Here is a 27,058-nt window from a genome sequence, read left to right on the forward strand (position 1 = left end):
CTAGGCATAGCAAGGGATTAACAATGACAACAATACAATAAATCAACTGTAACAATATAGTGTAATAGAAGTTATGTACTACACTATATTGTTACAGTTGATTTATTGTATTGTTGTCATTGTTAAACCCTTAGGCCAGGCACGGTGGCTCACACCTGTAATCCCAACACTTTGGGAGGTCGAGGCGGGTGAATCGCCTGAGGTCAGGAGTTTGAGACCAGCCTGGCCAACATGGTGAAACCCCATCTCTATTAAAAATGCAAAAATCAGCTGGGTGTGGTGGCAGGCACCTGTAATCCCAGCTACCTGGGAGGCTGAGGCAGGAGAATCACTTGAACCCGGGAGGCAGAGGTTGCGGTGAGCCGAGATAGTGCCATTGCACTCCAGCCTGGGTTGACAAGAGCAAAACTCTGTCTCAAAAAAAAAAAAAAAAGTTACATAAATGTGATCTCTCCATCTCTCTCAAAATCTTATTGTACTATACTGTGAGTAACTGCAAGTGCAGAAAGTCTAAGGGGGGTGCCATTGTATGCATTTTTTCATGAGATGTGTTTCACTGTGTGTGTGCATATCCACGTGCATATGCATATACATAATGTATTTCTGGTCAAAGATGTCTGAGAAACACTGACCTAACTGCAATAGATAAACCTAGGACAGGTAAGCGTGGTCCTGGTGGGCAAACACATTGCTGCCTCACTGGTTTTGCCATTTTGAATCAAGAACTTGAAGAAGTTTAGGGGTTGGGGGAAGAGGTATAAGTGGGAAGGAGGAGGGACATACGAGGGTGGGGTAGAGTGAGGGAGGCTGAGTGTGTGGGCGTCCACGCACGCCTGCTCACAGGGCTAAACACACATATTGTCCCTTTCCTGCCTAGTTCACGTCTCTTCCAATAATGATTATGACAACCTATAAATGGGAAACTGCATGATTCTTTAAAACATCAAAGGGGAATATTCATTTTATTTTGGGTTCTAATGTCATTATATTATGCAATTAGTCTTTGACTTTAAAAAATCTTAAAAGTAAATATTACATTAGCTAATAATACAGTCAATCCAAAGCAAACCTCAGCCATGTTCCTTGGGAGGCCCTAGGACAACAAAGAGAACTAAAACCATGGTTCCTGTTCTCGAGAGGCATGCTGTCTTCCCAGGGCATCAGACAGTGAAGTAAGTGTATTAAAGGGAGATGCTGGAGGCCATGGAGACACTCCCAGCAGCTCCTACCTCAGGCCAGTAAGGCTATTTCAAAGGAGAATGAGTGTGAAAGGAATCCTGACACAAAGTGCCTTCAGGCACTGTTAGTAATAGGACCTGGCTACCACCATGAGGTATAGCTGTGAAAGATGAAACAGGAAATGAGACTGGACAGCAGACAGGAGCTCAGTGAAGGAATACCTCCCCAAAGTGCCCCCACATTCATCTCCACCTTGGATAAAACCAAAATGGCACCCTTAAATAAGGTCAAAGCAGCCAATGTCAAAGGCAAAGTCACGGCAGGATTCACACTCTGAAGAATGACTTTACAACATGGGAAAGAGTGTGTGAGTTATGAAACCGTGAAACAAAATTAACTCGGTATCATTAGTATAGCCATTTTATATTGAATTTAAAATGAAGTTATGAAAGTGATTACAGGCAAAAGTAGATATTTAAATCATCTGGGAGTTTCTGTCCTCTAATACGAAGAGCTCTATTTTCCTGAAGATCTGCATGGGTGCGTGCACGCGTGTGTGTGTGTGTGTGTGTGTGTTTATCTATACAAACCTACACACACATACATGGACAACAGTATAGGAAGCCATCTTTGTAATAGAACAATGAATACATTTGATAAGTTGTTCCATTAAAAAAAAAAAACTAGGAGAAAGGTTCATAATGTAAGCCTCTGTGAAACAATGCAAAGATTAAAATAGCCATTTTGAGAGGACACGTTTTTGATTCTTACCATATGCTAAAATAAAAGGATTCCAACAAGCTTTTGCCAACAGTTGACCAATTGTGGGGAATCTTTCAATGACTGTATTAGAATCCTGTGAAAGAAAAATAAATTTTGGTCAGTAAAGGCATTATGCAACTTAGAAATACTGAACTGACATTATAGATTGAGGGAACGTGAATGCTTCTTGTTTAGTATACCATTTTTAAAAGTAAGCACAAAAGGATTAGAGAAGATCTTTAGGTAAGTAATTCAAATAAAGTTTAAAAAGCAACCAACCAACTTACTTCATCCTTAAATGGGGTCACCAAACTAAGATGTATGACATAGGTAAAATCAATTGTGTTGCAAAATTAATTCTACTCATACTTAATAGTCAGTAAAGGCTACTTTATTTAAAAATAATAAAGACTGCTTAAGAGTTGAAAACACATTATTGGTGATTAATAACTATATAATCCCGTATCTTTATCCTGGTTTTTTTATTCTAACATAAGAGAGGTTACGAACTCAGCTCCAGTAAGACTATTTCAAAGAAGAAGGTTTAAAGGGATGAGAACTCTGGAACTTGTAAAAAGAAATAAAAGCAGCCAAAGCATAAATGTATATATCTGTTTATTACTATTTTGAGTACTGTATGGCAAATGACATCATAGTCTGTAACAATCTAAACCCTGAAATAGAAAAAGGATCAACCAAATAGAAAACAGCTTAAGATTTAAAAACACACATGCATGCTATTGTACAACCGGACCTTTTTCCACTTGTTACCTTTCATAAAATTTCAAAAATAAAAGCAAACTAGGATAACATGCAGGTAAGCCGACACAATGGGCACTTTCTGCTACTGCAGCAAAACATCTCTCACATGTGTCCCAGCATCAAGCCTGGTCCTACACTTTTTGGGACCATATAAAGGTCAAGTTACGTATGTCTCATTAAAAAAACAATTCTAAAAATTAGCATCGGTTGTTCACACAGACTGTATCTTTCCTTATAGTTTCTAAAGACATATGAACTCATATTATCAATACAAATTATTCTTCAAATTTCCTATTTACTCTTTGATTAAGGGAAGAAAAGCTTAACACAAGAACACTTTGTTAAGTGACAATTTTGCTTTTCATTTTGAAATTAAATACAAAATACTAGCTCATAATATAACAACATGTGCTAAATCATAAAAATATCTATCATAATAAAAGAAACATGACATCAAAATGAAAATATATTAAATTTTGAAAATAATAAATTATATAATAGTAAAGATACTCAAAATCTTAATATTTATAAAAAGTATTATAAGAAGAGATCTTAATATCTATCATCTCTTAGGACAGCCCACTTGACAAGAGGGTTGAAGAAGGGTTAAGCATGTAGCAAATTCTCCAAGATTCAAGGGACACAAAGGCCTTCAAAAGAATCCCATTTACTACTTGACAACAAGCATGAAATCTTGATTATTTAAGAACAACTTGCTTGGTCAGGAAGTGTCATGTAACAATACAGCTACTCAAGAAGAAATTATAATAATATAATAAATCGGAGACTAGGAAACCAGCTCTTGAGTAATTTGTCTTCCTAATCCATCGGCACTTCAGTCAATACCACAAGTCCCGATTCTGGGTGGCATTCTGTCTTGGTGAAATCTGGTAGAGTCCCTGAAGTCAGAAAATAATTTCATTATTCTGGTCCACTACTTACCATCTCTTTCAAGGCTTCATACATCTTCCTTAGGAACTCCTGGAACTGAGCCACGTGAAGACAGGTGTCTTGCTGGGTTTCCAAAGTGGAAGCCTGATCCCATACAGAAAGCTTCTGCATCCAAAACTGATAATCACAAGAAAGATCTACTGAATCTTGAGCCATCTTGGAAAAAGCGAAAAGGTGATGTCCCTTCACAGCAGCCTGTCCAGCACTGAAGGAAATGGTCGGCACACATTAAATCTGTAAGAAAGGGAACAAATAGAAGCATTTCTAAAAGGCTCTTTTATCAGTGCCTTCACGACCCATTGATGGGTGAAGGAGGGATTACAAAGAACTAAAATAGCATGGCTTCTATGCTGGAGCCATCTTTGAATTGTTATAAAATATGTCATCCAGCTGGAGCTCCAATTTTTACCATCTGAACTTTTTATCATGATACTATCATTAGGCTAGAAGTCTTTATACCTCCACAGGCACACGCTAATTATGCACAAAAAGCACAGCTGATAATACTTTATATCTTCTTTTTAAGATTGAGCTATTTTTAAATGTTCTGAATATGAAGTTGACTTGAGTATTTTAATGTAATAGAAAATAAAAAACATCCATGAGTGTTTAATAATAGTCTGTGCCTAAGAAATGTTTTTGAAGTTCTTATGTTTTATATGAATTTCTGGCTTCTCATTTAGGTGTAAAAAAATCTCTATGCATTACTGTCTAACGAATTTTTTTCCCAGTTTCTCTTCATTTCTTAGAAAAAAGTAAAATAATTTATTCCACATGTAACAATTTAAGCAATCTTTTAACTAAAGATTGCTTTATATGCTTGATCTCACTTCATTCACACGAAGAAACCATATTTTAGTAAAATAATAATAAATTCCACTTACTGAGGAGGTATACTAGTCCCAGTGACAGTAGATAAAATCTCATAAGCCTGACTTCCTACCCCTGAAGGCCATGCTAAAAAGAACAATGGAGTTACACAGTGAGACTCAGGTGGAGCTGGCTCAGCGGCTCCAGCTGCCCCTCCCATCCCACAACCCTTCATCACCCATGGAAGCCAGAAGCAGGAATCGCAGAGGAGGGAAGGCTGCCTCTCAACAGGTGCAGGCCTTCACAGGCTCTGACACTCCCCAGGGCAGGCAGGATATTCAGCAATGTAATTTCAAAAGACTAGTGGTAAATAAAGTGAGTTTAAAATCCTCAACAACCATAATTAACAGGTAAAATGCTCCCAATTAAATACCCAAGATATCAACAAAGGAGGTTCCCATTACTAAAGAAGAAATTTGAAACGACTGTACAATTTGGCTGCAGTGCAAAAAAATCTAGATCGGGAAAGTTTTAAAATACCTAAAAAATGTGCAGTCTTCATGTTCACTTGGGCAGCACACACACTAGAACATTTACAGTTTTGAGAAGGATCATGTCTAAATGAAAAGAAAGTTTAATAATAGAGGGAATATATGCAACTGTCAAAATGGCACTTAGCCAAAAATCTAGATAATGTCCATGCCTCCTCATTGTCTTCCTCATCCAAGCTATCATCACCACCTGTCAAGTCTACCACCAAAATAAATGTGTGTGATCCGACTTGACTGCATGCACTTCCTTCCACCTCATTGCCACCCCTCAGCCTAGCCCTGGAGTGTTGCACTTGTCTACTGCCAGGCTGGGCCTGCCCGTCTCCAATTCATTCTCTATGCAGTAGACAGAAAAAACTTTAGCAAATGTAAATGAGACCAGCACATTCCCCTGGGTAAAACCTCTCTTCACGCTTCCTTGAAAAGAAACTTAAACTCCCCGTAGATACTCCCAGCTGCTTGCTGGAGTCTTGAAGACCCTGCAAAACATGGCTCCAGCACCGTCTCTGACAGCCCTTATTTCCTCTCTCCCCAGCTCACCACGGTCCAGCCCATGCCTCTCATCTGCTTCATGCACACAACAAATCCTTTCTGCTGATTCCAGTTAATTATCCTGGGCTTTATTCGTTCACTTAGTTACCGCTTCCTCTACTGGTGTGTAAATTCCCTGTCTTCCTAGAATGCAGCATATGCCTGGCAAACACTCAAAAAATACTGAATTAAGGAATGAATAATTCACCGGTATTCCTCATAGTACAGTTCTAAGCTAAATGCCACAGCAAAACGCTTCTCCAGATGAAGTAATTTAATTTTATTTTTATGTTATGTATTTTTTTTTAGACGAAGTCTCACTCTATCTCCCAGGCTGGAGTTAAGTGGTGCGATGTTGGTTCACTGCAACCTCCACCTCCTGGGTTCAAGCGACTCTCCTGCCTCAGCCTCCCAAATAGCTGGGATTACAGGCACACACAACCACGCCCGGCTAATTTTTGTATTTTTAGTAGAGACGGGGTCTCACCATGTTGGCTAGGCGGGTCTCGACCTCCTGACCTCAAGTGATCCGCCCTCCTCTGCCTCCCAAAGTGCTGGGATTACAGGCATGAGCCACCGTGCCCAGCCAGTAATTTAATTTTTAAAAGGTAATTCCCCACCAAAAAAAATTTTAAGGTATTTTTATGTTGCCTGTGTGAAATTTAATTAGTAATATCTCATTTTATAAATATAATAATAGTTTATACTTGCATACATTTACACTATGCTCTTGGCAATATATTAAATACTTTATTCATACTAATTTAATCATTACAGCAACACTATGAAATGGGTACTATTATCATCTCCATTTTACAGAGGCACCAAGAGATTACATAATTGCCCAAAGTAAGATTATGTAAAAACTGAAAGGAAGTAACTGCTAGTTAACAGCAGAGCTATGATTGTGGAATATGAATCCAGGGTCTGGCTCTAAAGTCTGTGTCCTTAAAGAAACAAACTGAAGAGGCGGGGCACAGTGGCTCACACCTGTAATCCCAGAACTTTGGGAGGCCGAGGTGGATAGATCACCTGAGGTCAGGAGTTTGAGACCAGCCTGGCCAACATGGTGAAACCCCATCTCTACTGAAAATAACAAAAATTAGCTGGGCGTAGTGGCAGGAGCCTGTAATCCCAGCTACTTGGGAGGCAGAGGCAGGAGAATCACTTGCCCAGGAGGCAGAGGTTGCAGTGAGCCGAGACCGCACCATTGCACTGCAGCCTGGGAGACAAAGTGAGACTGATTCAAAAAAAAAAAAAAAAAAAAGAAAAAAAAAAGAAACAAAGAAACTGAAGAAACTAACAAACTGATGAATTTCTTATATATTTCATATGGCACTAGATGCAGATCAGTTTAGATATTTGGGAACCCAGTAAAATGAAGAACTTTTTGATAAAAGAGACAAACATTTTATTCAAATAAAATTGCAGGCCCGGGGCTGGGCGCCGTGGCTCACGCCTGTAATCCCAGCACTTTGGGAGGCAGAGACGGGCGGATCACGAGGTCAGGAGATTGAGACCATCCTGGCTAACACAGCGAAACCCCATCTCTACTAAAAATACAAAAAATTAGCCAGGCGTGGTGGTGGGCGCCTATAGTCCCAGCTACTCAGGAGGCTGAGGCAGGAGAATGGCATGAACCTGGGAGACAGCTTGTAAGTGAGCCGAGATCACTCCACTGCACTCCAGCCTGGGCAACAGAGCGAGACTCTGTCTCAAAAAAAAAAAAAAAAAAATGCAGGCCTGGAACAGTGGCTCATGCCTGTAATCCCAGCATTTGGCAGGCGGTCACAGGAGCATCGCTTGAGGCCAGGAGTTTGAGACCAGCCTGGGCAACATACCAAGACCCCATCTCTAAAAAAAAAAAATTTTTTTTTTTAATTAGCCATGCATAATAGCAGATGCCTATAGTCCCAGCTACTCTAGAGGCTGAAGCAGGAGGATCGCTTGGACCCAGGAGTTCAAGGCCTCTGTGAGCTAGGATAGCACCACTGCACTCCACACTCCAGCCTGTGTGAGACAGCCAGACTGTCTAAAAAAGAAAAAAAGGCAAACAACCTTCGCTCAGCAATAGAAATGTATCTGATTGTTTTAAATGCAAACAGCTTTAGGAATCATGCAGTGCACTGATCCTCAATATGCTGCTCCACAACCTCTGGGGCTGGGAGGGGTGAAAACATGGTGCTGTAGTTGTGATGACCAGGGAGTGTGGGTGATGGCTGCTGCCAGCATCTGGTTAATTAAAGTACCCTGTGCCATCGGCCACATGTGGGATGATCACACCTGTTGGGCATATCTGACCCTGCTGGGAATCTGAGTCTTGACAGGTAGAACTCAGTCATTCAAAGGCTCTCTTAATCTAGATCCCTAGAGGTATCTGAGCTCATGTTCTTAATAATGTAAGGTGTTTCTCTCAACATTTTAAATCAATATTTTTAAATATTTCACTCCACTCTCTTCTTCCTTACATGGTTTCTGAGGAGAAGTTGAATGTTCTGCTCCTCTACAGGTAAAGTGCATTTTTCTTCCGGCTTCCATTCAAAATAAGAAAGCTTCCTGTATTAGTGGTATGGTGTCTGACATTAACTTGGAAAATTCTCAGTAATTACTGTTTCAGATATTTCTCTTTTAAAAAATTTTTTATTCCCATAGGTTTTGGGGGAACAGGTGGTATTTGGTTACACGGTAAGTCCTTTAGTGGTGACTTGTGAGATTCTGGTGCACCCATCTCCCATTGCAGAAGACAATTTTTTCATGGACCAGGGCGGGGGCAGGGATGGGGGGGATGTGTTTGTGGGATGAGAAACTGTTCCACTTCAGATCATCAGGCATTAGTCACATTCTCATATGGAGCGTGCAACCTAGATCCCCTGCATGTGCAGTTCACAAGAGGATTCATGCCCCTATGAGAATCTAATGCCGCCACTGATCTGACAGGGAGCGGAGCTCAACCAGTGATGCTCACTGGCCTACTACTTACCTCCTGCTGTATGGTCTGGTTCCTAACAGGCCACGGACTGGTACCGGTCTGTGGCCCGGGGCTTGGGGAACCCTGCTTTAGAGGAAAGGAAGATGTGCTATTGGGAAGGTGTGCAAGAATGGCACCAAGATGCTGGCAATATTCTATTTCCTGACCTGTGTGGCAATGACTATCTATCCACATTTTAATAACTCACCAAAGTATAAATCGTATTTATATGCTTTTCAATATGTTACTTTCTACAATTAAAAAATAGTTTTTAAAACCTCCACAGGCTGGCAAGATGGCCGAATAGGAACAGCTCTGGTCTGCAGCTCCCAACAGGATCAATGCAGAAGGCAGGTGATTTCTGCATTTCCAACTGAGGTACCCGGCTCATCTCACTGGGACTGGTTAGACAGTGGGAGCAGCCCACGGAGGGTGAGCAGAAGCCAGGTGGGGTGTCACCTCACCCAAGAAGCACAATGGATTGGGGAACTCCCTCCCCTAACCAAGGGAAGCCGTGAGGGACTGTGCCGTGAGGAATGGTGCATTCCAGCACAGACACTACGCTTTTCCCATGGTCTTCGCAACCTACAGACCAGAAGATTCCCTTGGGTGCCTACACCACCAGGGCCCTGGGTTTTAAGCACAAAACTGGGCGGCCATTTGGGCAGACACCGAGCTAGCTGCAGGAGTTTTTTCATACACCAGTGGCACCTGGAACACCAGCGAGACAGAACCGTTCACTCCCTTCAAAAGGGGGCTGAAGCCAGGGAGCCAAGTGGTCTAGCTCAGTGGATCCCACTCCCAAGGAGCCCAGCAAGCTAAGATCCATTGGCTTGAAATTCTGGCTGCCAGCACAGCAGTCTGAAGTCAACCTGGGATGCTTGAGCTTGGTGGGGGGAGGGGCGTCCCCCATTACTGAGGCTTGAGAAGGCGGTTCTCCCCTGACAGCGTAAACAAAGCCGCAGGGATGTTCGCTCAGCAAAGCCGCTGTAGCCAGACTGCCTCTCTAGATTCCTCCTTTCTGGGCTGGGCATCTCTGAAAGAAAGGCAGCAGCCCCAGTCAGTAGCTTATAGATCAAACTCCCATCTCCCTGAGACAGAGCACCTGGGGGAAGGGGTGGCTGTGGGCGCAGCTATAGCAGAATTAAACGTTCCCGCCTGCTGGCTCTGAAGAGAGCAGCAGATCTCCCAGCACAGCATTTGAACTCTGCTAAGGGAAAGACTGCCTCCTCAAGTGGGTCCCTGACCCGCATGCCTCCTGACAAGGAGACACTTCCAAGCAGGGGTCGACAGACACCTCATACAGGAGAGCTCCGGCTGGCAACTGGCGGGTGCCCCTCTGAGACGAAGCTTCCAGAGGAAGGATCAGGCAGCAATATCTGCTGTTCTGAAACCTCCACTGGTGATACCCAGGCAAACAGCGTCTGGAGTGGACCTCCAGCAAACTCCAGCAGAGGGGCCTGACTGTTAGAAGGAAAACTAACAAACAGAAAGGAATAGCATCAACATCAACAAAAAGGACGTCTACATAAAAACCCCATCCGAAGGTCACTAACATCAAAGACCAAAGGTAGATAAATCCATGAAGATGAGTAAAAACCAGCACAAAAAGGCTGAAAATTCCAAAAACCAGAATGCCTCTTCTCCTGCAAAGGATCACAACTCCTCTCCAGCAAGGGAACAAAACTGGACGGACAATTAGTTTGACAAACTGACAGAAGTAGGCTTCAGAAGGTGGGTAATAACAAACTCCTCCAAGCTAAAGGAGCATTTTTTAACCCAATGCAAGGAAGCTAAGAATCTTGAAAAAAGGTTAGAGGAACTGCTAACTAGAATAATATAAATGACCTGATTGAGCTGAAAAACACGTCATGAGAACTTCGTGAAGCATACACAAGTATCAATAGTTGAATCGATCAAGCAGAAGAAAGGATATCAGAGACTAAAGATCAGCTTAATGACATAAAGCATGAAGAGAAGGTTAGAGAAAAAAAAAATGAAAAGGAACAAACTAAGCCTCCAAGAAATTCGGGACTATGTGAAAAGACAAAACCTACGTTTAATTGGTGTGTGGTGTACCTGAAAGTGACAAGGAGAATGGAACCAAGTTGGAAAACACTCTTCAGGGTATCATCCAGGAGAACTTCCCTAACCTACCAAGACAGGCCAACATTCAAATTCAGGAAATACAGAGAATGCCACAAAGATACTCCTCGAGAAGAGCAACCCCAAGACATGTAATTGTCAGATTCACCAAAGTTGAAATGAAGGAAAAAATGTTAAGGGCAGTCAGAGAGAAAGGTCGGGTTACCCACAAAGGGAAGTCCATCAGACTAACAGCGGATCTCTCTGCAGAAACTCTACAAGCCAGAAGAAAGTGGAGGCCAATATTCAATATTCTTAAAGAATTTTCAACCCAGAATTTCATATCCAGCCAAACTAAGTTTCATAAGCGAAGGAGAAATAAAATCCTTTGCAGACAGGCAAATGCTGAGAGATTCTGTCACCACCAGGCCTGCCTTACAAGAGCTCTTGAAGGAAGTATTAAATATGGAAAGGAAAACCCAGTACCAGCCACCGCAAAAAAATACCAAATTGTAAAGACTATCGACTCTGTGAAGAAACTCCATCAACTAATGGGCAAAATAACCAGCTAGCATCACAATGATAGGATCAAATTCACACATAAAAATATTAACCGTAAATGTAAACGGGCTAAATGCCCCAATTAAAGGACACAAACTTGCAAATTCAATAAAAAGTCAAGACCCATCAGTGTGCTGTAAGGAGACCCATCTCACGTGCAAAGACAGACATAGGCTCAAAATAAATGGATGGAGGAATATTTACCAAGCAAATGGAAAGAAAAAAAAAAGCAGGGGTTGCAATGCTAGTCTCTGATGAAACAGACTTTAAACCAACAAAGATCAAAAAAGACAAAGAAGGGCATTACATAATGGTAAAGGGATGAATACAACAAGAAGAGCTTACTATCCTAAATATATATGCACCCAATACAGGAGCACCCAGATTCATAAAGCAAGTTCTTAGAGGCCTACAAAGAGACTCAGACTCCCGCACAATAACAGTGGGACACTTTAACACTCCACTGTCATATGAGACAGATCAACGAGACAGAAAATTAACAAGGATATTCAGGATTTGAACTCAGCTCTGGACCAAGTGGACCTAATAGACATCTACAGAACTCTCCACCCCAAATCAACAGAATATACATTCTTCTCAGAACCACATCACACTTCTGTTAAAACTGACCACATAATTGGAAGTAAAACACTCCTCAGCAAATGCAAAAGAACGGAAATCATAACAGTCTCTCAGATCACAGTGCAATCAAATTAGAACTCAGGATTAAGAAACTCACTCAAAACTGCACAACTACATGGAAACTGAACAACCTGCTCCTGAATGACTACTGGGTAAATAATGAAATGAAGGCAGAAATAAAGAAGTTATTTGAAACCAATGAGAACAAAGACACAACGTACCAGAATCTCTGGGACACAGCGAAAACAGTATTTAGAGGGAAATTTATAGCACTAAATGCCCACAAGAGAAAGCAGGAAAGATCTAAATTGACATCCTAACATCACAATTAAAAGAACTAGAGAAGCAAGAGCAAACACATTCAAAAGCTAGCAGAAAACAAGAAATAACTAAGATCAGAGCAGAACTGAAGGAGACAGAGACACAAAAAACCCTTCAAAAAAATCAATGAATCCAGGAGCTGGTTTTTGGAAAAGATTAACAAAATAGATAGACCGCTAGTCAGACTAATAAAGAAGAAAAGAGAGAAGAATCAAATAGACACAATAAAAAATGATAAAGAATATCACCACTGATCCCACAGAAATACAAGCTACCATCAGAGAATACTATAAACACCTCTACACAAATAAACTAGAAAATCTAGAAGAAATGGATAAATTCCTGGACACATACACCCTCTTACACCCTCTCAAGACTAAACCAGGAAGAAGTTGAATCCCTGAATAGACCAATAACAAGTTCTGAAATTGAGGCAGTAATTAATAGCCTACCAACCAAAAAAAGCCCAGGACCAGACAGATTCACAGCCGAATTCTACCAGAGGTACAAAGAGAAGCTGGTACCATTCCTTCTGAAACTATTCCAAACAATAGAAAAAGAGGGACTCTTCCCTAACTCATTTTATGAGGTCAGCATCATCTTGATACCAAAACCTGGCAGAGACACAACAAAAAAAGAAAATTTCAGGCCAATTCCCTGATGAACATCAATGCGAAAATCCTCAATAAAGTACTGGCAAGCCAAATCCAGCAACACATCAAAAAGCTTATCCACCACAATCAAGTCGGCTTCATCCCTGGGATGCAAGGCTGGTTCAACATATGCCAGTCAATAAATGCAATCCGTCACATAAACAGAACCAATGACAAAAACCACATGATTATCTCAATAGATGCAGAAAAGGCCTTCGATAAAATGCAACATCCCTTCATGCTAAAAACTCTCAATAAACTAGGTATTGATGGAACGTATCTCAAAATAATAAGAGCTATTTATGACAAACCCACAGCAAATATCATACTAAATGGGCAAAAACTGGAAGCATTTCCTTTGAAAACTGGCACAAGTCAAAGATGCCCTCTCTCACCACTCCTGTTCAACATAGTATCGGAAATTCTGGCCAGGGCAATCAGGCAAGATAAAGAAATAAAGCATATTCAAATAGGAAGACAGGAAGTCAAATTGTCTCTGTTTACAGATGACATGATTGTATATTTAGAAAACCCCACTGTCTCAGCCCAAAATTTCCTTAAGCTGATAAGCAGCTTCAGCAAAGTCTCAGGATACAAAATCAATGTGCAAAAATCACAAGCATTCCTATACACCAATAACAGACAAACAGAGAGCCAAATCATGAGTGAACTCCCATTCACAATTGCTACAAAGAGAATAAAATACCTAGGAATACAACTTACAAAGGATGTGAAGGACCTCTTCAAGGAGAACTACAAACCATTGCTCAGGGAAATAAGAGAGGACACAAACAAATGGAAAAACATTCCATGCTCACGGATAGGAAGAATAGATATCATGAAAATGGTCATACTGCCCAAAGTAATTTATAGATTCAGTGCTATCCCCATTAAGCTACCATTGACTTTCTTCACAGAATTAGAAAAAACTACTTTGAATTTCATATGGAACCAAAAAAAAGTCCATATAGCCAAGACAATCCTAAGCAAAAAGAACAAAGGTGGAGACATCGCACTACCTGACTTCAAATTATATACTACAAGGCTACAGGAACCAAAACAGCATGGTACTGGTACCAAAACAGAGATATAGGCCAATGGAACAGAACAGAGGCCTCAGAAATAACGCCACCCATCTACAACCATCTGATCTTTGACAAACCTGACAAAAACAAGCAATGGGAAAAGGATCCCCTATTTAATAAATTGTGTTGGGAAAACTGCTAGCCATATGCAGAAAACTGAATTAGGACCCCTTCCTTACACCTTATACAAAAATTAACTCAAGATGCATTAAAGACTTAAATGTAAGACCTAAAACCATAAAAACCCTGGAAGAAAACCTAGGCAGTACCATTTAGGACATAGGCATGGACAAAGACTTCATGACTAAAATACCAAAAGCAATGGCAACAAAAGCTAAAATTGACAAATGGGATCTAATTAAACTAAAGAACTTCTGCACAGCAAAAGAAACTATCATTAGAGTGAACGGGCAACCTACAGAATGGGAGAAAATTTTTGCAATCTATCCATCTGACAAAGGGCTAACATCCAGAATCTACAAGGAACTTAAAACAAATTTACGAGAAAAAAACAACCCCATCAAAAAGTGGGCAAAGGATAAGAACAGACACTTCTCAAAAGAAGACATTTATGCAGCCAACAAACATATGAAAACAAGTTCATCATCACTGGTCACTAGAGAAATGCAAATCAAAACCACAATGAGACACCATCTCACGCCAGTTAGAATTGGCGATCATTAAAAAGTCAGGAAACAACAGATGCCGAAGAGGATGTGGAGAAACAGGAACGCTTTTACCCTGTTGGTGGGAGTGTAAATTACTTCAATCATTGTGGAAGACAGTGTGGAGATTCCTCAAGGATCTAGAACCAGAAATACCATTTGACCCAGCAATCCCATTACTGGGTATATAAGGATTATAAATCATCCTGCTATATAAAGACACATGCACACATGTATGTTTATTGCAGCACTATTCACAATAGCAAAGACTTGGAACCAACCCAAATGCCCATAAATGATAGACTGGATAAAGAAAATGTGGCACATATACACCATGGAATGCTATGCAGCCATAAAAAAGGCTAAGTTCATGTCCTTTGCAGGGACGTGGATGAAGCCGGAAGCCGTCATTCTCAGCAACCAACACAGGAACAGAAAACCAAACACCACATGTTCTCACTCATAAGTGGGAGTCGAACAATGCGAACACATGGACCCAGGGAGGGGAACATCACACACCGGGGCCTGTCAGGGGGTTGGGGGACTAGGAAAGGGATACCATTAGCAGAAATACCTAATGTAGATGACAGGTTGATGGGTGCAGGAAACCACCATGGCACGTGTATACCTGGCTAACAAACCTGCACATTCTGCACATGTATCTCAGAACTTAAAATATAAAAAAAAAAAAAAAACTTCCAGATACACATTTACCATAAAGACATCACCCCACAGGCAAAGAAAAAAGGAAAAAGTATTATAGTTTATAAATGTGAATAAAGATGGACAGTACTTGATGAATACAACAAAATTTTGCAAATTGTTGAAATAGTATGTATTTTCTGTTTGTTTGTTTTTTTAACTGAGTTCTCTGTCTGGAAATATTAAAACCACCCACCAGGATGGGCAGAGATAACAGTCCTAGCACTTGCTCCCTCCTTTTCCTTCCAGTCCTCAAATAATGACTCCATTTTTCCAGTCCTGGCTCTAAGGAGGGGAAAATCCAAAACCTGCTGTCTGGACCCCCTATCTTACCTGTACGGCTACTGCTTTGCCCCAGAGGGCTTTGTCACAAAGAGGGAGAGACGTTCAATTCATTATTCACGGAGGAATAAGACAGTGTCACCCGAAGCAGACATATAAGGTGGCTTCCGTGCAGCTCCAAAAAATGCATGCCTTGAAAAATGGGGCTGATTCTTCAGATTTATGGTAATTTCAACTTTTTTCACAGATGTACTACTTTTTTATCGCAGGTAATCTACAAACCTATTAGACAATTGACAGCTGACTATATTTTTTGCTCAATACCAAAATCCTTTATCTTGCTCCAAATGTAAGTCCTTGACTTTCTTATGATTCTGCCTAGTGTATGTACCTAAATTCATTTCATTACTAGCTCTTAGAGAAATACTGTTTAGCATTTTTAAGAAATAAAAAAGGTAAATGTTTTATAACATATTTCCTGAAAACTCAGGATGTTAACAAGTATTTTGTGCATACACGCACAGCATATACTAATGCAGCAAAAGCAATTGGCATGAAAAATCAGAAGGAAATCCACTTTTTCCATTTCTTGCATAATGTATCTTTTAGTGCATTTACCCAGTCCCTAAGGAATCAAAACAAACCATGATTTCACCTTCTCCACGTATGCAGACTAAAAACAACAGAAGCTGTTAGATCCCTCAGTAAGTATTTCCAGGAGAAAATAAAGAAATTAAATAAAGACCTTCAGAAATTCCTATGCAGAGGGGACTAAAGCAAAGTCGTATGAGCAGAGAGATGCAGACGCTGGAACAGAAGGCAGTGTCCAGTGAAGGACCCACACATGCTTGATCCTGTCCCTGTTTCCTGCCAGGTGGGAGCGGATCCTTCAGAAGCAGGAAGAGGTGAGGGGCTGGGATAAAGTACCAAGGGAAACCAGCCATGGGGCCATGCAAACATCCAAGATACTGAAAAGGAACCAGTTCACAATGGCATCAGCTTAGGACCACTGCCATTGCCCTTCTTCTCACACATATAAATTGCTCAAGAGTTTGGTTGCTTGTTAAGTACTATTTTATGAACTCAAATAGCCATGATACAAAGATACACCACTGTCCACAGGGGCTCATGGTCTGAGTCACCGAGATAACATGGCTCAGATTCAAAGTACAGCAGGCAACAAAGAGTATTACCTCAGGACTAAAGGTTCCTCATTTTGGTGAATTCTATCCTTTAGGAGAAGGATATATTCAAAAACTTCATGGAAAATGTACCTTACAAGAATATGGAGCTCACCAAGCACAATTCATGAGAGCAGAAGGAAGTAAAAGCATTAAAACACTTGAGCAGTGTCTGAAGAAAGATAACAAAGAGGGAGGAGACGCTGGGTGACAGGCTGGGGCAATGCATCCTAATTCATTAAAAACAAACAGAAAACCATCTCCCTTCACTTAGAACGGCTACTATCAAGAAAACAACGACAAGTGTTGATGAGGACACAGAGAAACCAGAACTCTCGTGCACTGCTGGTAGGAATGTAAAATGGCGCAGCTGCTACGAAAAACAGTATGGTGGTTCCTGAAAAAACTAAACATAGAATTACCATTGATCCAGCAATCCCACTTCTAGGTATATACCCAAAAGAATTAAAAGCAGGGTTTCAAAGAGATATTTGTACACCCAATTTCATAGCAGCGTAACAGCCAAAAGTGAGAACAACTCAAATATCCATCAGTGGAGAAAAGGATACACGAAGTGTGGCATATGCACACACTGGAATATCATTCAGCCTTAAAAAGGAATGTAATTCTGATACATACAGGAATAAATCTTGAAAACACCATGCTAAGTGAAATCAGACAAAATGCGGAAGGACAGATATTCTTTGATTCCACACAGATGAGGTACCTACAATAGTCAAATTCACAGAGGCAAATTAATTCATGAGGGGAGACAGTAATGGAATGTTACTGCTTAATGGGTAGAGTTTCTGTTTGGGATAACGGGAAAGTTCTGGGGATGGATGGCGGCAATGGTTAAACAATGTTAATGTAATCAATGCCACTGAATTACATGTAAAAGTGGTTAAGATGGTTACAATCTTATTTATATTTACCACAATTAAAAAACCAACAACACACAAATGACAAACCTACAGTGGCTCCAGTCCTGGCTGGCCCAGCAGAGGTGGGGCCTGGAGAACATGCTGCATCCCTGCCCTGCTGTCTCCTCAGGGCCCCCTCAGAACAGGGCTGCACACACTGCTAGTTGCCCACCCAGCAGCCCTAAGCTCTCCATTTCCTCTTTGTTAAGAGTTTTGTCCAGGAATCTCAAGGCCATATGTCTTAGGGAGACTGGGATATCCGCCAGTGCCAGGGGTGAATCTTGATTCACACAGAGCAGGTAATTTCAAATGTTTTGTTCTCAGGGCCCATTTACATCCTTCAATGTTACTGAAGACCCCAAAGAGTTTTATTTATATATATATGTGTGTGTGTGTGTATGTATGTGTATATATATATATATCTATATATATATAGATATAGATAGATAGATAGATAGATAGATATTTACCACCAGAAACTAAAACTGAGAACAATTAAAAAGACAAAATATACAAACACACATTCCATTAGCTGTCAGAGAGAGGTCATCATCATCTATCATGTAACCTCTTGACAACGCCACCGCACACTAGTGAGCGAATGCGAGTCGAAAAGGCAAATAGCAGCTTAGCATTATTATAAAAATAGTTTTACCCTTGTGAACCTCCTAAAAGGGTCTCGGGGACCCTGGGCCCTCAGCCACATTTTGGGAATGGCTAGTACAGACCAGTCATGGTATTTACTTTTGCTCGCCTATCAAACTGTAGGAACAGGTATATTATGGAAATATAGGGCATGAGAACTGAACTTCAACAAAAGGTTTCTCAGTTTTCCTCAGTTTTAAATGAGTTCACTTTTTTCCATATCTGACATAGTAGTCTTTGTGTGATACTCAGAACGGTAACAGTCACCTTGAGACCCAGGGATAAGGAAACCTGAGGGGACTGGCCAACATACTGCAAACAGCAAAGAAGAATCACAGCCCCGTGTCCTCACAGCATAGTTGAGGCAATGAAGGAGCCAAATGTGGAACTGCTCTTTTTGCTTAATCCCTTAACACCATTCTTTGGCTTTCCTGTTACTTGCAATCAAACACATCCTAGCTGACACATCTCAGGACCTAGTTTGCTGAGCATATTTTGAAACCCACAAACTCACACAATACTTGGCACATTGTAGGAGCATGATAAATATGTACTGAACAAATGTATGGAAAATAAATACATAAAAAAAGCAACAAGGCTGTTGTAGAAGAAAAATAAAACAGATAAAATTCTGACTGATTTTATGTTGATAGAAACCCCTGTAGCTCCAAGATTGTTAACATTTAAAACAAAGCTCATTTTAAACCACACAAAAGTAGCTATACATGGTACCTGTCAGGGGGACAAGAAAGTCTAAGAATGCTTTCCTTTGGTCTAAAACATCTCTAAGCCCAGAGAGCTAAGTCTACTCATGCCAAATATGGACCATATAAGCTTCTCAAAGTGGAGGCGACCTGATAAAGTGCACTTTTTTCCCATTTACCCTCAGCATGAGGTCCTTTCTCTCATGAAATAAGCACCAAACAGGAGATGTATGGAGAGAATGCTACAAAACACACTAATTATGGAAAAAGAAAAAAAAGACAAATCAAATACTTAGCTTCCAATCAATCAATGTCATCAACTAGGGGCACCATGACCTTGTCAGAAAATATTTAAAACCCCCTAAAATATAATCAAATATAAAATTAAGAAATTTATGTTCAATTCCACTTAAGTTGACAAGATTCTTCCTCTTCCTTGATGAAAGCCTGATAACTATTTTTAATTTGCTGAAATGTAATGTTTCTTTGCTTCACTTCACAGGGTAAGACTGGTCAATTTACCCCTGTGTTTGTGGCTTTTTTTTTTTTTTTGAAAGTCACAATAAAAGATTCTTGTTCCCATTAAGTGCTTATGAAAGAAACAAATGGTATTTTTCCTCCTAAAACCAATGAGGTTTTAAGAAAAGTTCCACTAGGAGGAGCTGGCTATTTCTCTGTTGAGTCAGTGGCGTTCCACCTCTGAGATAGTCTAATCAAAAACACAGACCTGAAATTTGCAGATAATTTCAAACAAACCTCAATTGTAAACAAAATCTGGGCCTAAGGAATTGGAGGAGGCAACTTCAATCCAGGTGCAGAGTATGTATATATACTCTTCAGATGACTTTGCAAAGAATTAAGGAAACTGAATCTAGCAGATAACTCTGGGGATTTACTAGGCTCAATTCTCCCACCCAAGACCTCAGCAATGGGGGGAGAGGAGCTATTCTCTGGACTTGGCTTCAAAATAAAAGCATCCCTTCACCACAGCGCTTGCCATCGAGGCTGCTAAGACAGAAATCTCTGACCTTGTTCTCCATCAGAGCACCAAGGAGCCATCATTCGGACTTGAAAAATACCAGCCTTCCCTCATGCATTCTATTACAATCATTACTTCCTTTCCTTGCGTTTCTTGTCCTCACTTCACTTACCTGACAGTAAGACTTGGGTTTTGGTTAGACCAGTTAGAAAGTGAGCTGAGGAACACATTAGTTATTAAAATATTAGGAAGCTTCTTCTTGCCTTGTGACTTGGCTCCAAGTTATTTCTGCCTCTTTCTCTCCTTGATTCTACAGGTAATTTATTACTACCTAAACAAAAACAAGGAAACCCATACATTTATTAGGAGCCTATTTTATGACAAGAGCTCTGAAAATCACTGCAAATAAAAAGATGACAGTGTTCCCCACTCTCAAGCAACTTATGGCTAATGAGGAAATTGGGACCCATACACAGATTACACTGTGGGAAGGGCTGGGAGAGAAGGAAACACAGGGGGCTGCAGGCAGCATGAGGAAGGGGCACCAGCCCGGCATGGAGGTGTCAGAGTCCCCAGAGAGAAACGATCCTGAGCTAAGCAGGTCAGGAAGCATGAGCAGGAGTGAGCTAAAGACATCAAAATCAAATGCAAGGTGCTTGCTGCAACCAACAGCAAGAGTTAAATTACCATTTGACCCATGGTTCTCAAACTTAAAAACTGTTGAGAGCTCCCAGTATTATCTAAAGTCATTCTTCTTATTAGTTAAATATTAACAAACATAAACCAGTAAAACCTTTATGCTTGTAACTCTTACACAACCACAATATAAAAAATATACAAATTAAATACCAACAAATCTACAAAATGAGTAAAATTTAAATTGACAAAATTAATTCAGCGTGATCAATGATGCAGTCATTGAAACTCACTTTGGACTAACCATGTAGGGCTTGGTACCGACAGGCAGGTTCTGTTGACTGGCCAATACTAACACATGCAGGGAGACAGCTTAATTCACGCATCACTTTCCTCTTCAGAACCACTGTGCAACGGCAATCTCTTAGCTCAAACACGTTATTTACATTTTCACCTCTGTTCTTTTATAATATCTCCCTATATTTAAAGCAGTGCTCCTTGGCACCAATACAAACACAACTCCAGGCACTGAAATTTTAAGACATTACTTAGTTAGAATTGCAGGCATTTAGGTGTGTGGAATTATGAATTTTTAAAAAATTACCACCAAAATGAAAAATAGAAGGTGAAACCTTTGTAGAGAACCATAGCACCCTAATAAATCCCACCTGCCTAATCCCACTCATCTTTTGGGGCCTGCAAGCCTCAGACGGAGTTTAAGTAACTATATGCTATGGGTCACTGAGCTCACATAGGAAGCGTTCTTGTGGTTAGCTTTCAGTACTATGTAAAACCAAGTATCTTTCTTTCCTTTAAACTCTCTGCCCATGTGACTTCCAGTTAAGATGGCACGGTAAATTCACTTTTGGATGGATTCTCTTTACTCCAAACATACAGCAATGAGAGGGGAAACATAAAAAGAAAAAAGGAAAAGGATACAGGCAAGCACACACACAAAATAAACATTTCTATGAAATCGATACGAGACAGAAACACAAAGAGGCAAGACCCCGAGGACAAAACCATGAGCAGCCAGCCCCTCCTATGCTAGGGTCCAAAAACAGGCAATGAAACTGTAGGTTTGGGTCTTAGAAGGGTTGGGGGCTAAACAGAGGCACAAACGACAGAGTGAGAAACTAGCACCCTTGCTGGAAGGTGGGATGGAAGGTGCTGACTAGAGCCCTACCCCTCCATGCCTGAAGGAAGGCTCGCAGCATCCTTGCCTCCTATGGAGTGGCGGTCTAGGGAGGATGGAGGACACCTGTCAGGCAGGACCAGGCACTGCGTGAAGCAGCCATGAATGCCCAGGTAACTAAGCCCCCACTGTGAAAGCTAGTTCTGCACCCAGGCTCCATGGAAGCCAGACAGAGACAAGCAGAATGAGGCTACACAGGGGAGAGTGTGCAGAGAGGGAGAAAGAGGCGAAAAATGACTGAATGAGTGAAAAGTTTTTAAAACCTCATTCAAAACATGTCATTTAACCAAAGTTCTAAAGTACATGAAGAAATAAATGCAACTAACAATATCAGACATTAGATCACAAATTCACTTCAGATGAAGTTAATCAGTCCAACAAATAGGTATATTTAGATGCTAAAAAATCCTAACAAAGTATACTTAAGACACTAAAATAATCCCAACAAAATATATTTAAGGTGATTTTTAAAACCAACAAAAATCAGTATATTTAGGGTGCTTTTTAAAAAAGCTAATTAAAAAATAAGAAAGTATAAATTGAAAAGGCAGAATTAAAAGATGGCTAAAAAAAAATCAACTGCAAAGTATGTAAATCAGGACTACGGTCATTAAAACCTAAAAACTCAGTGCACAAGATACTAGACAGTAGACTGGAGAGGAAGCACTCTGTCTTGACAAAACACACTGCACATCACTGGATCTGCAGCAGCACAGCTCAGGAGCCCAGCTGCTGGCCCCACAGCCTGGCCTCACTCGGACCTGGCTGGTAGCCTTTCGACATCACAGGTGACTGAATGGGTCAGATCAGCACATCCAGGCTGTGAGTCCCACTAGCATTTTGCCTCTCCCCTACCAGTTGGTGGATATAGGTGAAGTAACTTTCGTTTTATACAACCCCTACAGAAACTTGATGAAAAAGCAGACCCTGAAATGCTTCAGGCAACAGATTTGTCCTCCTTGTAATAGATAACTCACTCTGGATTTAAATTTATCTTCTTTGCCCACCACACTTCTCCAGCATCACCAAATGTGGACTTGACTGGATTCCTTATTCACCATCATGGTATCACAACCAACTTCGGACCAAGGAACTCATTATATAGCAAAAGGAGTAAAGCAATGGGCTCCTGCCAAAAGGGTCTGTTGTCAGCTAAGTTACTACTAGCTGCTGCATGAACTCGATGGCTTTCACCTGTATTCCTTCATCACTTCCAAATTTCTCTACTACATATTTATTTCTTTCTGCTGCATCTTCTCTGAAGCTTAAACAGGAAACAAACATTAACATAAAGGAAAACATAAACAAGAATGATACCCTGAGTTATGTGGAAAGGAACTTTGATTTGAGGAATCACAGATGAATAACAATATAAAAAATCTTGGAAAACTGGTAACAATACACATCGTAATTGTTTGGATAAACAGTCACATTTTTTTTTTCTTTAAAAGGTTAGAAAACCTCTCATTTAGGTTCCCCTGGAAAGCAGAGCTCAGACAGGCTAGAGAAGGTAAAGACCTTAATTCACCCCCTCATTTCCAAAGACAGAAAGCCTCTCACCAGACCAGCCATGTGATGCCCTCCAGGTGTGTGCCTGGCAGCTATGAAAGGGGACTGACAGGACACAGGCCCTGGAACCAGCCGCTGTGCTCTCAGAACCTCTCCAAAGCCGATGCTATGCTATAGCACAAGAGCACCACCTACTGAGTTCCAAGGGACAATTTAGTCCATTTATTGAAAAATGGCTCAGTAAAATATGACTGTGGAGGGATGAACTCCACATCATTTCAATCTAGTTGGCTGTGTCTCTTTCTTTTAAAACTAGAACCCTTGCCAAGACTCCTGAAAAAGAAGCAGCATGCCTTCTTATTCTCCCATTTTCACTTTAATTACCACAGTAAAATGAATGTCTCTTCCTATCAAGCTTTGGCTATCTTAATGAATACTGCCATTTCTAGATCCCTCTTCCCCTACCTGTTTTCCAAAGGGCAGAGAAAACCTCTAGGGGAGCAGTAGTCCTAAAGGGTCTGGGAAGGATGTATGTAAAGTCAGTCATTCGGTCAAATTTTAAACCCTATGAGGCACAGTGCTGTGATGGGGGAATTGTTTTTACAAACTCGTTGAAAGATGATTACAATAGTCCTTTTCTCCTTGAGGAGCTTAAGATGAGCACAGAGGTTCTAAACCAGCAAAGCTGGAGATCAGATGATCCATTAATAAAATTGAATACAGAAGAAAATACGTAGGTGTAAGGAAAGATGATTTATGGGATAAGTAACATTGGGGAGAGCTGATTGCTTCTGCTGTGCTGTGTATTAAACATATAGAATACAACTGAAGGCAAAGAGCGGGTTCTTTCTGGAGCCCTTCATGCCTTACATGAAGCCCCTAGGTACTGCCCAGTACAGTTCAAGTGACACAGACTCACTCGAACAATTCACATACATTCCAGCCTGGTTATCACGTAGTTTTGCTATGTTTTATTGGTCTGAGAGGGACACTCTGGGAACCATTATTGTAGGGGTGGGTTGCCCCTACACACCTGTGGGTGTTTCTCGTAAGGTGGGACGAGAGATTTGGAAAAGAAAAAGACACAGAGACAAAGTATAGAGAAAGAAATAAGGGGACCCGGGGAACCAGCGTTCAGCATATGGAGGATCCCGCCAGCCTCTGAGTTCCCTTAGTATTTATTGATCATCTGCCTTCAAGCATCTGTTTAACAAAGCACATCCTGCACCGCCCTTAATCCATTCCACTCTGAGTTGACACAGCACATGTTTCAGAGAGCACGGGGTTGGGGGTAAGGTTATAGATTAACAGAATCTCAAGGCAGAAGAATTTTTCTTAGTACATAACAAAATGGAGTCTCCTATGTCTACTTCTTTCTACACAGACACAGTAACAATCTGATCTCTCTCGCTTTTCCCCACAATTATATGTCAGCCTCTCCCATGCCTTAGTCATGATTAAAAAGCTGCAGCTTTTGTTTATGCCAACATCTGCACCAGTACTAGTCCTCTCATCCAGTACCGGTCAGGGACCCGTCGCAGCGAGAGCACTTGCAGGCCAACACGAGAGGGGAGCCTGTACAAAGCAACCACCCGGAGAAACGGCAAGCACTCCAGAGATCAGCCACCCGAGAACTGTGAGAGTGCACATTTATTACTTTGGAAATCATAAAAACTTCAAAACAGCAAATGTGTCTATACTCTGTTTCAATTATTTCACAGAAAAATAAGATACTTCAGAAAAATTCCAATCCTGATTCTCTAGTGCATAAACTGCTGTGCTAAATGTGCAGTTCATACTCTACTAATGCCGCATGGCAAGGCAAGGAGCAGGCAGCAGTCGCAGGGAGGATAAATCCAACTGAGTATGAAAACCTCCAGAAAGGGACCTGCTGAAAAAGAATGAGGTGATACATGGACAAATTCTAAGATAAAGGGCAACCTAGGTATTTAACATATTTAACATAGGTAAAGTAGAAAAAACCCAACCTGGGGATTCAGAGGTCCATTGGATTTTTTTAAAACATAATATTGAGATTTAGTTGACTAATATAAAATGCCACAATGTTAGAATACACTAACAGGGGTCTAGCAAAAATTTCATAATCCTGCTCGATTTGGCCCATTTGTGGACTTCACTAGAATGTTAGGTGTAGTGGAGAGGAGCAGTCACCTCTCCAGCATCCATTCTCCACCCTCCCCCTTCTTAACGAGACTGGAAACTTCCCAGTCAGCATATTTGAGTGGGATAAGAATGGGCTCTGATTAGGTTAAAGCAGTGCTCATCAACCAAGGACAGTCGTGCCCCAGAGGGGACCCTTGACAATGTTTGAAGACATTTTTGGTTGTCACAGCTGGGAGAAGGATGTCACTGGCACCCAGTGGGCAGAGGCCAGGTACACCGCTGAACATCTACCAAGCACAGGACAGTCTCCCACAACAAAGAATTAGCAGCCCAAATGTCGGCACCTCATTCCCACACTAGCACATGGGACCTGTGAATATTACTTTACATGGCAAAGGAATGACTATTACCTTGTACAACAACAACTACTACAAAGTGGTAACATTCAGGATCCTGAGAGAAGGAGCTTGTCCTGGAATATCAGGGTAGGGTAGGCCACATGCAACCTTATGACAGAGGCAGAGCAAGTTGGAGACAGACACAGAGGAGGCAGCAAAGTGAAGACAGAAGCAAAGATTGGAGGGATGCGGCCACAAGCCCAGGAATGCCATGCTGGCCGCCAGAAGTGAGAGGAAGGTGTCCCCAGAGGGAATGTGGCCATGTCAGTTTTCACACTTTTGGCCTCCAGAACTGCAACAAGATATGATTCTGTTCTCTTGATCCAACAAGTTTGTAGTAATTTGCTATAACAGCTTCGGGAAACTAATATCGCATCCTGCAAGGAGGTGTATGAATTGCAAATTACAAAAAGGGAAGCAAAGTTACATCTTGCTTTTTTTTTTGATCTGAAGATTCCCTTCTACCAATATACCAAAGGTTTCCACATTAGGAGTTTCTTCTACTGTCAAAATCCCCAATGAAAAATATTATTAAGCACTTTTGCTGCTGAATGCACGCCTTAAAAGTTTATCACCTGACTCACCAACCACCTTCCAAAGTATGGCTCCTTCCCTCTTCCATCAATCCCATCAAGCCTCTTCTTTTTTTTTTTTTTTTTTTTTTTTTTTGAGATGGAGTCTCGCTCTGTCGCCCAGGCTGGAGTGCAGTGGCGCGATCCTGGCTCACTGCAAGCTCAACCTCCCGGGTTCACGCCATTCTCCTGCTTCAGCTTCCCAAGTAGCTGGGACTACAGGCACCCGCCACCACGCCTGGCTAAATTTTTTTGTATTTTTAGTAGAGACAGGGTTTCACCATGTTAGCCAGGATGGTCTCGATCTCCTGACCTCGTGATTCGCCTGCCTTGGCCTCCCAAAGTTCTGGGATTACAGTCACAAGCCACCGCGCCCGGCCCCGCCTCCTCTTTTTTATTGAGGCAACAAAGCATCATTTTAACACATTTTATGTACCAATTACATTTATTTAATTTTGGATTATTTACTAATAAAAAGTTTTCATTGCTCAATGATATATTTTTCTATTTGTAGAAAGTATTTGGACATCTTAGGTTGGGATGGAACACATCATAACTTTTACCACTAAAATGAACATAAGTTAGCCGGCTGCAGTTGAGAGGCCAAGCGGGTGGATCACTTGAGGCCAGGAACTCGAGCCCAGCCTGGCCAACACAGTGAAACCCTGTCACTACTAAAAAT

General features: G+C 41.1%; 1 protein-coding gene across 19 annotated transcripts in view, besides 1 other annotated feature; it reads right to left on the reverse strand.

Moving 5' to 3' along the window:
- Nucleotides 1–27,058, reverse strand: part of FANCC (FA complementation group C) — a 218,656-nt gene that overhangs the window by 146,428 nt on the left and 45,170 nt on the right. For 18 of the 19 annotated variants that reach the window (XM_006717001.4, NM_000136.3, XM_047422951.1 and 15 more), the window contains exons 2-3: nt 3,646–3,888; nt 1,951–2,035 (exon numbers count right to left, since the gene is read on the reverse strand). In XM_006717001.4, the coding sequence (XP_006717064.1) occupies nt 1,951–2,035; nt 3,646–3,810 (250 nt within the window). In that variant the 5' untranslated portion in view covers nt 3,811–3,888. Of the gene's footprint in view, nt 1–1,950; nt 2,036–3,645; nt 3,889–20,114; nt 23,379–27,058 lie in introns of those variants that run through there. The other variant, XM_011518365.4, reaches the window with a different exon arrangement.
- Nucleotides 23,246–23,540: a silencer, noted in NCBI's record as "tiled region #1693; HepG2 Repressive DNase unmatched - State 8:EnhW, and K562 Repressive DNase unmatched - State 12:CtcfO". NCBI's record gives its function as "represses a minimal TATA promoter and a strong SV40 promoter by Sharpr-MPRA in HepG2 and K562 cells {active_cell/tissue: HepG2 | K562}" and the evidence as "EXISTENCE:reporter gene assay evidence [ECO:0000049][PMID:27701403]".

This window comes from Homo sapiens, chromosome 9 (genome assembly GCF_000001405.40).
Source record: "Homo sapiens chromosome 9, GRCh38.p14 Primary Assembly".
NCBI classification, from domain to species: Eukaryota; Metazoa; Chordata; class Mammalia; order Primates; family Hominidae; genus Homo; species Homo sapiens.